We start from the raw sequence: 14,879 nt of genomic DNA, 5'->3' as shown, positions 1-14,879 counted from the left end.
GAAAATTTGAATAGGACTGAGTTCAAACCCATAGGAGTTTATCATAATGTTATCAGGTCGCTGTCATATGCCACAGTACAAAGTTCTTCAGAGGAACTCAGCAGGGAGCTGAATGGAAGCTGAGAAGCACTTCTGAGGAGGCAGCCGCGAGCAAGATGTGACACTGCAGAGTTTTGGAAACAGCAGTAGCTGAAGGAGCAGTCTGCTGTTAACTTGCCACGGATCCCATTGCAAACTGCAACATATTCAGTGCATCTGTCTTCAAAGGTCAGAGAGCAAACATTAACCTCTACACCTTGCTGGGTGCACCCAGGTATTTACAGAGAGCAATCATAGGTTAAAAAAACTCAGAATGACTCTTTGCATAGCAGGGAATTGTAAACGCTTTGGATCCTCTCCTCCAATGATTCTGTAAGCGTTGCATTGCCGTAGTTCACTGTCAACAGATGGGAGGTTACCTTTGAAGGCAACCAAGAACTACCTTGGTTTAATACCGCAGCCAGAGTTGGAGCACTCCTCGGAGGCAAGACTATTGTCAGAGATTCAATTAATGTCTCTGTGAGATGAAAATACATCCAGATGAAGCCCACACTTGGGCTTTATACTCAGTGGGGCACAAACACAACATGAAACAAACAAAAACCAGATATAACCAGATCTAGGCTTGATTCAGTCAAATCTGAAGATGGGGTGGAGGCACTATTCAATTACAGTTATTCTTCAAAGTTCCATTAGAGAGAAGAGCAAGTGCAAGTTGATTCAGCAGTCAGAGTGGTTATAAATTATGCCAGATCTTCCCTTTGGGTTATTTAGGAAATTACAGTATCTCAGCTTTTGCTTATTGAATTCAGGCTTGGAAAAGAGAGCGAGAAGAGTCAGAATGTAAAGGCAAATGGAGAGAGTCCAGAAAGAATTCAGATGGGAAAGCAACTCCATTAACCGTTTCCTCAGTGGACAGGCAGAGGTAAACCCAAGAGAAAAATTTGTAACCAGCATTGACATTATTATGATCAAGACAGAGAGATCTTGAACAACTTAGAGCTGGGAAAGTGTTTGGCAACAAGGATCCCAGCAATAAGGACAACACACGAAGGCTGGGCAGAAATGCCAAGAGTTGATTAGAGGTGGCCAGTCCAGTGACGATTTTTCCTACCATCCCTGAATGAGAAAAACATCTCACTAAGCCTTAATGACATTGTGATTTGCCTGATGGCAACCTTAGCATCATACTAATCAAATCAGAGCTCAATAAATGCATGTAGATGAGCTATTTTTTCTAAATTTAGCAACATCATGGGTACCTATGATTGACTTGGAGAGCAAATAAGACTCTCTGTCTTGAATTCGCTTCAACAAACCTGTTTTATAGCAGAGGTAGAAAACGGGCCAGGAGCAGTGGCTCATGCCTGTAATCCTAGCACTTTGGGAGGCTGAGGTAGCAGGATCTTTTGAGCCCAGGAGTTTGAGACCAGCTTGGGCAACATAGCAATACCCCGTCTCTACAAACAGTGCAAAAATTAGCCCGGCGTGCTGGTGTGTGCCTCTAGTCCCAGCTACTTGGGAGGTTGAGGTGAGAGGAACGCCTGAGCCCAGAAGGTTGAGGCTGCAGTGAGCTATGTTTGCACCCCTGAATTCCAGCTTGGGCAACTGAGTAAGAACATGCCTCAAAAAAAAAACAAAAAAAAAAACTCCTCACTGAAAAAGCTCACAAAGATAAAAGAACACAAACAGCTGGGGAAAGAGGTTAGACTTAACTATTTATGGCCTGAATTTTTGTTTCTTAAGAAACATGAGCCTAGCGCAGTGGCTCACGCCTATAATCCAAGCACTTTGGGAGGCTGAGTAGGGTGGATCACCTGAGGCCAGGAGTTTGAGACCAGCCTGCCCAACATGGTGAAACCTACTAAATACAAAAAAATTAGCTGAGTGTGGTGGCACATGCCTTTATTCCCAACTACTTGGGAGGCTGAGGCAGGACAATTGCTTGAATCTGGGAGGCGGAGATTCCAGTGAGCCGAGACTGCCCATTGCACTCCAGCCTGGGCAACAAGAGCAAAACGCCGTCGAAAAAAAGAAAAAGAAAAAGAATGGAAAAGAAAAGAGAAAAGAAATATGAATTGGAAGTTGTCAGGTAGAAAAGGAATACTTTCTTTCAAGCAAAATATCAATTTTTTTATCATTCAAATAACCAACCCTTATCTCATTTAAGCCTCACAGCAATAGTATGATGTAAGAACAATCATTATTCCCATTTTACAAATGGAGAAATTGAGCTTTAGAGAGGTTAGGTAATTACAGTAAGTTTACATGGCTATTAAGTGTTGGAGCTGAGATTTGAACTCAGGCTGACCCGAGATTTAAACCCAAAACACCTGTACTTAACTACCAGGCACTGATACTCCTAGTTTAATAAAATTGCTCATAATTGGGATACTAAGAGCCTAACTAAACGAAGCCATGCTGAAAGGATTTATTTAGTAGATGAGCCTGAAAGTGCATACTGGATTGCAAAGGGTCAACGCGGACCTTCTGCAGATCCTCCGAGATACGGAGTTAACAGACGGTACTGGAGTCTGGGGTAGTTCAGACAGAAACATCAGCACAGCAGCAGCCTTGGAGAAGCAGTATGTATTTAGCTGCAGGCTGTATTTAGTCCTAGAAGGACTGCACAGAACAGAGTTAATGCATTACAACTCAGGGCTTAGCCCTCAAAACCCCAGGGCAAACAGATCTCTAGGATGTTGATAAGGCTAATGAAATAGCAACTCTTAAGAAATAGCTGCAATCCGAAGTTCTGGTCTAAAGAAAAACTGTCAAACATGAAAAAGGTAGAAAACAACACATATACATTTCGTAAGTCAAGACCACACTACAAGTATCACCAAAAGATAAGAATGCTTGGATTCTTTAATGAAACATGGACCCCAACTGTGGTAATTCTCTAATGCTAAACCCTTGATCTTTGGCTCTGTGTTTGATTGTAGTTGTTACTTGTTTTTAGAAATTATCCATTCACATTCTGTCAACTGTTGGTGCAGAGGGGGATGGTTAATTTCATGTTTCAACTTGGCCAGGTTATGGTGCCCAGTTGTTCGGTCAAACACCAGTGTAGATGTTGCTGTAAAGGTATTTTTTAGGTGTGATTAGCATTTAAATCAGTAGACTTGGAGTAAGGCAGATGGCCCACCATAATGTGAGTAGACCTCATTTAATCAGTTGAAGACCTTAGAAGCAAAGACTGAGGTCCCCCAAAGAAAAAGGAATTCTGCTATTGGCTCTGATATTCTGAAGAACTGTGACTAATAGAGCTGATCCCTCCAACATGTATCTGTCTAGTCTTGTTTCCTGGCATAGGGTCCAGTCCTATTTTATCTCCAATTGTCTAACAGTCATTTTCACTTGGAGCAACCACTGTCATTTCAGATACAGCTTGTCAAGACCTAAACTCAAGCCATTGTTTCGCATTTAAATAGCATGAGCCACATTTAAGAGAGAAGAAGAATAGACATACAGTACTTGCTGTCAAATTAAGATGGAGGAATATAATTAAGTCCATCAGTTGTTACACTAAATGCTAGTGGACGGAATTTCCCATTAAAAACAGACTTAACGAATTAGGCTGAAAAAGCAAAGCCAAGTTTTTTGTATGTAGTTTCTTTTTTTTTTTTTTTTTTTTTTTGAGACAGTTTTGCTCTGTCACCCAGGCTGGAGTGCAGCGGCATGATCTCGGCTCACTGCAACCTCTGCCTCCTGGGTTCAAGCAATTCTGCCTCAGCTCTGAGTAGCTGGGACTATATGCATGCGTCACCACACCCAGCTAACTTTTGCATTTTTAGTAGAGACAGGGTTTCACCATATTGGCCAGGCTGGTCTCGAACTCCTGACCTCAGGTGATCCGCCTGCCTTAGCCTCCCAAAGTGTTGGGATTACAGGCATGAGCCACCGCACCCGGCCGATATATATGTATGTAGTTTCTAATAAACACGCTCATTACAGGTTGAGTAACTGTTATCCAAAATGCTTGGGACCAGAGGTGTTTCAGGTTTCAGATTTTTTTTTTTTTTTGGATTTTAGAATATTTGCAGTACATAGCTACCAGTTGAGCATCCCTAATCCAAAAATCCAAAATCTGAAATGCTTCCATGAGCATGACCTTTGAGCATCATGTTGGTGCTCAAAAAGTTTCAGATTTGGGAACATTTCATTTTGGATTTTCAGATTAGGGATACTCAACCTGTATTAATACAAAAACATTGAAAATGAATGATAAGGCATACCTGACAGATGCAAACAAATGTAAATCAAGAGAGATAATATTTTTAAAAAGTTAACAGACACTAAACAGAATGAAGAGGTCATCTGGTAATGTTAAAGACATAACTTATAGAGAAGGTGTGATCATAACTAAAAACCTGTGAAACAAATTCTTAGGAACGCAGGGAGAAAAAGATAAAAATACAATGATATGGGAGACTTTGTTATACTTTGCTCAGAAGTGAACAACCTTAAAAAATAAAGACTGAGAAGAAATGAATAATACAATCAACAAACCCAATATATATGTGTGCGTATGTATGTGCATAGAATACAGAATAGATAAATGTCCATGAATATCTATGCAATACTGATTGTGTATTTTATTCTAAGAAAAACTTTGTAAACCAATCTTTAAGCGAAATTTAAAAGTAAGAATTTTAGAGATTGCACTCTCTGATCACATCTAACAAAATTATAAATGAGTAATGATAGCCTCAACTACTTGCAAATTCAATACTAAATTAAATATTCCTGGATCATCCCATACTCAAATCATACCCAAAGGTTTGTACTGTTTCCACTAAAGAGATATCTCTTTGGCAGTGCATGCTATGGTTTGGATATTTGTCCCCTCCAAATCTCATGTTGAAATTTGATCCCCAAAGTTGAAGGGGCCTAATGGGAGGTGTTTGAGTTATGGAGGCTGGTGGATCCCTCATGAATGGGATGAATGCTCTCCCTTAGGGGTGAATGAGTTCTCACTTTATTAGTTCCCATGAGAACTGGTTGTTAAAAAGAGCCTGGCACCTCTTCAACACTCTTGCATCCTCTCAGACAATGTGATCTCTGCAAACAGAGGCTCCCCTTTTGGTCATGAGTGGAAGCATCACAAATGGACTAAGAGAGGGCAGATGTTGGGTTTTGTACTTTTTATTTTTATTTCTTTATTTTATTGAGACAGGGTCTTGCTTTGTCACCCAGGCTGGAGTATGGTGGAATGATCATGACTCACTGCAGCCTTGACTTCCCAGGCTCAAATGATCCTCCCATCTCAGCCTCCTAAGTATCTGGGACTGTAGGTGTACACCACTATGCCTGGCTAATTTTTCTTTATTCTTTTTTTTTTTTTTTTTTTTTTTTTTTGTAGAGATAAGGTTTTACCATGTTGCTCCTGAGCTCTGGCAATCCACCTGCCTCAGCCTCCCAAAGTGCTGGGATTAATGAGCCACTGTGCCCGGCCTTGTACTTTTTATATAATGTTCAATGCCAACCTCGAAATGTAGATCCCTAATAAATAAATAAGCATTTGAATGAATTAATCCAAGAACATAACTGCAGGAAGAATGAATAAATGGCAAAGGCTCAAGTTTGACAAGAAAAGACAGGAAGGACAATTTGGACATTTGCAGTATGAGTTCTGCATCTATGCACTGGACTGAATCACATTGGTCTTTTTTAGATCCCTCAACACTGAAAATTTCCATCTAATTTTGTGGCAATTTCCTCTAGCTGACTACCACTTTCCAGGTGTCTCCTGACACTGCCTAGCTAGACTTCGGTTCTTGCCTTTCCATACTTCCCCACCTACCCCCGGGCACTCCTTAGCAGGTTTTCTAGTAGAATCTTATTTTGATTTCTTGCAGAGCTTTCCTTAATATAGCACTGTTCTCAAGATATGTTCTCTTGCTCTTCCATGTCACTAATTAAAATGAAAGCTAATGCTGAGGTTGGTGGCACCCAATTAAACATGGATCAAAAGCGATGTGTTATGAATGATCCCCATTTAGGATTCCTTTGCTGTTTTTCTGCATTCTGGGTGATTAACGTCAACTGTACGTCAATTTTGCAAGTAAAACTACAACCCCTGAATTTAGTCTTTTCAATTGTTCAGTCTCTGCCGCAAGATGTCCTACTATGTAATGGTCCAAATCTTCTGAGATGTACTTCAACGACCTTTGAGTCACAACTCAAAGTGTCAGTCCTCGGCCACGTGCAGTGGCTCACGCCTGTAATCCCAACACTTTGGGAATCCAGGGCAGGTGAATTTGCTTGAGGTCAGGAGTTTGAGACCACCCTGGCCAACGTGGTGAAACCCCATCTCTACTAAGAATACAAAGATTACTCAGGCGTGGTGGCACATGCCTGTAGTCCCAGCTATATGGGAGGCTGAGGCAGAAGGCTGAACCCCGGAGGTGGAGGTTGCAGTGAGCCGAGATCATGCCACTGCACTCCAGCCTGGGTGAGAGAGCCGGACTCCATCTCAAAAAAAAAAAAAAACCCAAGAGTGAAAAATAAATCAGTCCTCCAGGTATCACATCCAAGCTAGCTCCTTCATCTCATCCCTTGAGGAACATCATCTCTCTTAGATCTTAGGCTCTTCTTTCTGTTCATTTTTTTTCTTTTTTACTTTTGTTTTTCATCATATCCAAATGTAAATGACTATTGTTCCTGATCATTGACCACATCCTGATTTTCCTTAGACATATCTAACATTATCTGGAATTTCTCTGAGGACAAGAGATGTTTTTCTACTGATTCGATCCTATCATATTCTTTGCTCACGGGCCTCCAGTATTCCATTAAATATACACTCGCACATACAATATTGTAAATTCTCCAGCTATGACTTGTGATTCTGTTATGACACCATACTCCTTTCACGTGCAGTGCTTGCTCTGAAAATGGTTTTTTCTCAGTTTTCACTTTCTGCGTACTCACCACTATGTATGCAACTGCTTCTTTATTATTTACTTATTTATTTTTGAGACAGAGTCGCACTCCGTTACCCAGGCTGGAGTGCAGTGGTACGATCACTGCTCAGCTCACAGCAGCCTTGACCTCTGGGCATGGATGATCCCCCCAGCTCAGCCTCCCAAGTAGCTGGGACTACAGGCAGGCACACTACTGCTTCTTCAGTGCCAAACTCCTTTTCTTCTTCAAATTATTAAAGGCAAATCCAACCAGGACGCTGGCACTTCATCCATTGCAGGATGAGCGTTAAATCTCATTCACACTTACTGACACGAGGCAGACTGGTCCCCAGTCCAGTCTTTCTTTTCCTTAGCATTTCAGAACATCTTTCTGTTTCATCCCCCATCAGAGAGGTGGTCTGATCTAGAATTTAAGAGCAAGGCTCCCACAGGAAGATAACTGGATTTAAATACTGGTGCTGCCACTTACTTGCTGTGTCTCCTCAGACAAGCCTGAACTGCTTTGTGCCTCAGTTTCCCATTCTGTTAACTATAGTTAATAGTAGTGCCTACCCCACACCTGTAATCCCAGCACTTTGGGAGGCCAAGGTGGGTGGATCACTTGAGGCCAGGAGTTCAAGATCAGCCTGGGCAACATGGTGAAACCACATTTCAACTAAAAATGCAAAAGTTAGCCAAAAATGCAAAAGTTAGCCAGGAGTGGTTGCAGGCACCTGTAATCCCAGGTACTTGGGAGGCTGAGGCAGGAGAACTGCTTGAACCCAGGAGGCAGAGATTGCTGTGAGCCAAGATCGCACCTGCCAAGATGCATTCCAGCCTGGATGAAAGAGTGAGACTCTGTCTCAAAAAAAAAAAAAAAAAAAAACAAAACAAATAGTAGTGCCTACCCAACAGAGTTGTAGAGAGGATGGACTACACTACAGGCTCGGCATCCCTAATCTTGAAATTCAATATCTGAAAAGCTCCAAAATCTGAGATATTTGCGTACCAACATGACACTCAAAGGCCATGGTGGAGCATTTCGGATTTCAGATTTTCAAATTAGAGATGCTCAACCAGTAAGTATATAATGCAGATATTTCAAAATCCACCCCCCAAAAAAATTGAAATCTGAAATATTTCTGGTCCCAAGCATTTCAGATAAAGGATACTCAACCTGTAATACATGTAAAGAGAAACAGCACAGCAATTTTAGCTGATGGCAAATAATACGTTCTCCTTACAGTCTTTTCCACCATTATAAATATTTGTTGAGAAAACAGTGCTAAAAAAAATACTGAGCATGTTACTGGCTTTCTCTGTGTTCTTCATAGTTTGCATAAGGATATTTCTTCCCTCTTCCTATTGTGGCTTATTAATATTTTATTTATTTATTTTTTATTTCTATACGTTTTTGAGGAATAGGTAGTATTTGGTTAAATGAGTAAGTTCTTCACCGGTGATTTGTGAGATTTTGGTGCTATTATTATTTGCTGTGCACACAGTATACTAGATTTCTTAATTGCTAAAAAATTTATGTCCTTTCCTCCCAAAAGTTTAGGTAAAAAACTGCTCTGAGGCTGGGTACAGTGGCTCATGACTGTAATCCCAGCACTTTGGGAGGCAGGTAGATCACAAGGTCAGGAGTTTGAGACCAGCCTGGCCAATATGGTGAAACCTTGTCTCTACTAAAAATACAAAATATTAGCCAGGCATGGTGGTGGGCACCTGTAATCCCAGCTACTTGGGAGGCTGAGGCAGGAGACTTGCTTGAACCCGGGAGGCGGAGGTTGCAGTGAGCCGAGATTGTGCCATTGCACTCCAGCCTGGGTAACAGTGCAAGACTCTATCTCAAAAGAATAAATAAATAAACAAAATAAAAATAAAAAAGAAACAGCTCTGTAAACTCATATTCAGTCATTAGTTCACACAACTAAGTAGCTGCTTCTACTACATGTGGCTATTCTCCCATCATTTCGCCATTGGATTAGAATAAATTAATAGCTCTGAAGAGGAAATTCTTAGCTGAGTCTAGTTCCATTTCTAAACTTTTTACTTATTTATTTATTTACAAAACATGCCTAGTTTTTCAAAACATACACTTTCTACAACATTAGCCTTGTATCCAGACCTTCACTGTGGCCAAAGGCTGCGACTTACTGAACAGTGTATAGTATACATGTGTCTTAATTTCAATTAGCCTTACTTTTCAGCCTTCACTGGAAGGTACCTTCATAAATATAGATGCATGTACGTAAATTTTGAATAGACAGATATAGATCAGAGCCAAGACAAATATGACAGATGCATATCTAATGAATTTGGAGTTTTTCACACATAACAGAGGGTAGTACGTTTATTCCCTGAGGTATAAACTGACTCCCTGAGATCTACAGCATACAGCATAGTCCATGCTGGAGTTCTGCAATTTGATTTGATACAATTAAATTCATCAAAAATAAGTCACAAAGACATAGATGCCATTACTTACAGATAGGAATATCTGTTAATATGTTTATATTCTGTAAAAATGCCAATGACGTCATTGTACAGATAAAGTGCTAGGTATAACAAAATTGATAAAATAATCAATTACATTGGGAGAGCTGATGAAACAAACTAGAGCAGGAAGATTTTAGTCTTAAGCTAGATTCCACAGCCAAAACCTGAATACAACAAATATCCCAGTGGGTACTAGAACCAAGAAGCTACTATGAAGTGAAGTGACATATGCCACTTCCAGGCCAATATATTTAAGAGCGTGTATACAACCCATCAGCTCTGTCTCTCTCTGTCATGGTGACCTGGAATCCATGTGTTGAGATGGCATGATCGCAAGAGGGAAGTAGCCAGAATTCCTAAGTCATTGTGAGAATAAGATTTGTGTGTGTAAGAAATAAAATGTTTCTCTGTCATATCAGAAAATACCACAAATATTAATAAATCACAGGGTTAATTTGTTAAGTAGCATAACCTATTAGGTTGGTGCAAAAGTAATGGCAAAAACTGCAATTACTTTTGCACCAACCTAATAGACAATCCTGATTAATACATCAGCTTTAAGACATACTTCTCTTTGCAGCTTTCTTATGATAACCTATATTTGATTTTTTGTTGTTGTTGTTTTAAGAAGGGGTCTCGTTCTGCTGCCCAGGGTGAAGTGCAGTGGTACAATCACAGCTCACTGCAGCCTTGATCTCCCAGGCTCAATTGATCCTCCCACCTCAGCCCCCCAACTGGCACGAGTCATCATGCCCATCTAATTTTTGTATTTTTTGTAGAGTAGGGGCTTTCCCATGTTGCCCAGGCTGGTCTCAAATTCCTGTACTTAAGTGATCCACCTCAGCCTCCCTAGGTGTTGAGATTATAGGTGTGAGCCAGCTCTCCTGGTCTCCAGAGCAGTTTTTACACAAACACATTCAAAGGAGGGGATGGTTGAGGAGGGGACCCTAAGGAAGCCTGAGGGGCACTCAGACAGCAGCAAAGCCCTGGTCTGATGGGAGAAACCAGAAGAATGACCTCTTGGCCTCACTGACCCTGTTTCAAATGCTCATATTGGCCGGGCGCAGTGGCTCACGCCTGTAATCCCAGCACTTTGGGAGGCCGAGGTGGGTGGATCATGAGGCCAGGAGCTCGAGACCATCCTGACTAACACGGTGAAACCCCGTCTCTACTAAAAATACAAAAAATTAGCCGGGCATGGTGGCGGGCGCCTGTAGTCCCAGCTACTTGGGAGGCTGAGGCAGGAGAATGGCCTGAACCCAGGAGGCAGAGCTTGCAGTGAGCCAAGATTGCGCCACTGCACTCCAGCCTGGGCAACAGAGCAAGACTCTGACTCAAAAAAAAGAAAAAAAAAGTGCTCATATTGGTGTTCATTTTCTTATCTCCTTATTTTTGCCCCCTGTAATGTTCATGTTAAAGAATAATCCCGACCAGGTGCGGTGGCTCACACCTGTAATCCCAACACTTTGGGAGGCCGAGGCAGGTGGACCATCTGAGGTCAGGAGTTTGAGATCAGCCTGGCCAACATAGTGAAACCCTGTCTCTATTAAAAATACAAAAAATTAGCTGGGTGTGGTGGCGGACCCCTGTAATCCCAGCTACTTGGGAGGCTGAGGCAGGAGAATCGCTTGAACCCAGGAGGCAGAGGTTGCAGTGAGAAAAGATCGCGCCATTGCACTCCAGCCTGGGTGACAGAGCGAGACTCTGTCTCAAAATAATGATAATAATAATAATAATAATAATCCCTTTATATCTCTCTTACTCTTTGTTGGACATGTCAGATTTTTAGGTTAAAATGTATTATTCGTTTCTTTTATGATCTGAGCACATCAGATAAAAGAATCCACATAGACTAACTGAAACCACAGAGTAGATTCTATATACCAAGTAAGTTAGGTAGAAATTCTGTGAATAACTGGGAGTAAAGATTGAAAAATTAATTTCAGAATGGTTTCTGAGACTAGGAGTGGAAAGTTGGTTTCTGCAAGTAAGAAGCCATCAACATCTATTCATTAATGAAGACATAAAAAATAGCATTTCCAAACTGTGCAGTTACACAGTGACCACAACTGTGAGGGATTGCTGGACTACAGATCTTTCTGAACTCAGAGTTTTTAAAAGAAGCAACTTTCTTTTTATATAAAATACAGATAGGAATCTATTTTCTATGGTTATTGGTTATTTAATATGCTCTGGAATGGAGTAAGATTTGCCTTTATTTATTTATTATTATTATTTTTTTTTTGAGATGGAGTCTCGCTCTGTCACCCAGGCTGGAGTGCAGTGGTGCGATCTTGGCTCACTGCAACCTCTGCCTCCTGGGTTCAAGCAATTCTCCCACCTCAGCCTCCAGAGTAGCTGGGACTACAGGCGTGTGCCTCCATGCCCAGCTAATTTTCTGTATTTTTGTATTTTTTTTTTTTTAGTAGAGACGGGGTTTCACCGTGTTAGCCAGGATGGTCTCGATCTCCTGACCTCGTGATCTGCCCGCCTTAGCCTCCCAAAGTGTTGGGACTGCAGGCGTGAGCCACCGCACCCAGTCAGATTTGCCTTTTTAAAGAAACGGCAATGGAAGTCATGTCTATGGCTCTATTGCTTGACCCAATGTGATGTACATGATGTCAACAAACTTTGGAAAAATTAGAGGTGGAAGAAAACCTTTAAGAAAACCAAGGTCCATAGGCCCATAATGAATGAAAAGACCATAAACTGGAAATTCTTTTTTTTTTTCCTGGAGACCTCCTCTGAGGACAGGAAATTCTGGCCCTGGTTCAAATGTTGACTTCTTAACTTAGGGGAAAATTACTTAGCCATTCCTAACTTCTTAGTTAAGAAATCTCTTCTTTCTGACTGCTCAAACTGCAATCAATCATTGAATTCTGTGGCTCTGTACCCCTCTCTATCTGTACCATCTATCACATTCTAACTGTATTAGAAATAGTGGCTCATTCCTTCACGCAACAGAAATTTTGGATCTAGCCTAATCTAGGTTGTGTATTCCTTTAAATGCTGAGTTTACAGAGGCGAAAGAAGAAATGGGTGGTAAGACAAGGTTTCTACCTCCAGAAGATTATTCTAGGTGAGAAAAAGAAATGTAAAAAATATATGTAATGCAACCTGATTAGATGCTACAATGTAAGTACTGCAGTACTGCAATGTTATGACCATCTCAGAAGGCATGCCATCTGGGCTGGATCTGGAAAGACTATTCTTTATATGTGAATGCCTATTTCTTTTACTGAATTGAAGACAGGGTTAAGTCCAATGGTTTGCATTCTTCTCAAATACCTTTACCATGGTAGGTGCCAAATAAATATATATGGGATAAATAAATAAAAGAAATATGAATACTAAGCACTGAATGAAAGAAAAATACCAGTTTCAGAAATGTAATAAAGTTATTCTTTAACAATGGAAAAAATTAACCTCTTCAGGTGCTCAAATATTTGTTGACAAAAAAGTCAAGTGAGGCCAGGTGCAGTGGCTCATGATCCCAGCACTTTAGGAGGTCAAAGCGAGAGGATCGCTTGAGGCCAGGCTTTGAAGACCAATCTGGGCAACACAGCAAGACCCTGTCCCTACAAATAATTTTTAAAACTGGCCAGAAGTGGTGACGTGTGCCTGTAGTTGCTACTCAGGAGGCTAAGGTGAGAGGATCACTTGAGCCCAGGAGTTCAAGGCTGCAGTGAGCTGTGATCACGCCACTGCACTCTAAACAAGAGTGAGATCTTGTCTTGAAAAAATAAAAAAGTCAAATGATTGGGCCAGGCATGGTGGCTCACGCCTGTAATCCCAGCACTTTGGGAGGCCAAGGCGGGCAGATCACAATGTCAGGAGATCGAGACCATCCTGGCTAACACAGTGAACCCCGTCTCTACTAAAAATACAAAATATTAGCTAGGCGTGGTGGTGGGCGCCTGTAGTCCCAGCTACTCGGGAGGCTGAGGCAGGAGAATGGCGTGAACCTGGGAGGCGGAGCTTGCAGTAAGCCGAGACTGCGCCACTGCACTCCAGCCTGGGTGACAGAGTGAGACTCCATCTCAAAAAAAAAAAAAAAAAAAAGTCAAATGATTTTAAGTACTAATTTAAAAATAAGAGCCTCTGAGACTCTTCTTTGGGACACTAAAAACCAGAATATTATCACGCTAAAAGCTGCCAGTGAAACAGTAAAAGATTCCATCGTTGTATTTCTCAGTGCTCCATGATGTAGATACTATTTTCCTTTGACAAACGAGGAAACTGAAACAGAGAAAGATTAAGCCATTAAGGTCGGGTGCAGTGGCTCACACCTGTAATCCCAACACTTTGGGAGGCTGAGGCACGCAGATCACTTGAGTTCCAGACTAGCCCCATCTCTACTAAAAATACAAAAATTGGCTGGGTATGGTGTATGGTGGTGCACACCTGTAATCCCAGCTACTCGGGAGGCTTGAGGCACAAGAATGGCTTAACCCAGGAGGTGGAGGTTGCAGTGAGCCAAGATTGCACCACTGCACTCCAGCCTGGGTGACTGAAAGAGTGAGACTCTGTCTCAAAAAAAAAAGAAAGAAAAAAGAAAGAAAGATTAAGCTATTAGCCCAAATCATAGAATTAGCATATTGTGAAGGCTGGATCCTGATGAGTCCCACCTGCATCCAAACCAAGCCCTTAGCTGCCAGGCAATGAGGCTGTACAGCCTGACTGCCCTGCACAACTAAGGTTATGCTGATAAGAGTCCTTAACGATCACAGCTACTATTATGCAGATCAGCATTATGTTGCAATAAGGGCCACCCGCATTTTTTGAAGACTGTAGAAGGGAGTTAAGGTGACCTCTTAGCCTTTCAATAATTTTAGACTAAAGAAAACTCTTGACCAACATATTTTTTAAAGACAAACAGAAGTTTTGCAACCGTGAATCTTCCAGTGTTTGAAGTCAGATTTGGAAACATAAGGCATGCTCTCATTCTTCTTATGTTTAATAGCAGGAAATTAGAACCTAGATTTTCAGTCGGGTATGATGAAGCACTCCTGGACTCCCAGTTATCTGGGGGTGGGCGGGGTGGGTGGTGGGTGCTGGGGTGGGAGGATTGCTTGAGCCGCGGAGGTTGAGGCTGCAGTGAGCCATGATCATGCCACTGCACTCTAGCCTGGGCAACAGAGCAAGACCCTGTCTTCCAAAAAAAAAAAAAAAAAAGAACCTAGATTTTAAGAGATTTCATGTTAGACGGCAGATACATCACTTTCAACATCTTATTCTCTATCTTGCTGATTGGCTCTCTTCTTATCAAGGATACTTCTCTGAGAGGAAGCCAGAAAAACAGCTGCCAGAAGAGCATCTGGTATTAAGAGCCTCAGTATCTGGAGGAGAGCATCAGATGTGTGTTATCTGACTTCCTTCTCACAGCTGGCTGTGTAATCTTCCTGCAAAGGAAGCCTGGGATAGTCCATA

General features: G+C 41.6%; 1 protein-coding gene across 21 annotated transcripts in view, besides 1 other annotated feature; it reads right to left on the bottom strand.

Annotated features, from left to right (window-relative positions):
• The window catches only part of KIAA1217, an 853,117-nt gene that overhangs the window by 309,508 nt on the left and 528,730 nt on the right, over positions 1-14,879 (bottom strand). The gene's annotated exons all lie outside the window — the stretch shown is intronic.
• Positions 63-588: an enhancer, noted in NCBI's record as "H3K27ac hESC enhancer chr10:24526677-24527202 (GRCh37/hg19 assembly coordinates)". NCBI's record gives its function as "activates a minimal SCP1, AML or CMV promoter by ChIP-STARR-seq in primed H9 embryonic stem cells {active_cell/tissue: H9 hESC(primed)}" and the evidence as "EXISTENCE:reporter gene assay evidence [ECO:0000049][PMID:30033119]".

Source organism: Homo sapiens, chromosome 10 (genome assembly GCF_000001405.40).
Source record: "Homo sapiens chromosome 10, GRCh38.p14 Primary Assembly".
NCBI lineage: Eukaryota > Metazoa > Chordata > Mammalia > Primates > Hominidae > Homo > Homo sapiens.
This window is presented reverse-complemented; position numbering and strand designations above follow the sequence as displayed.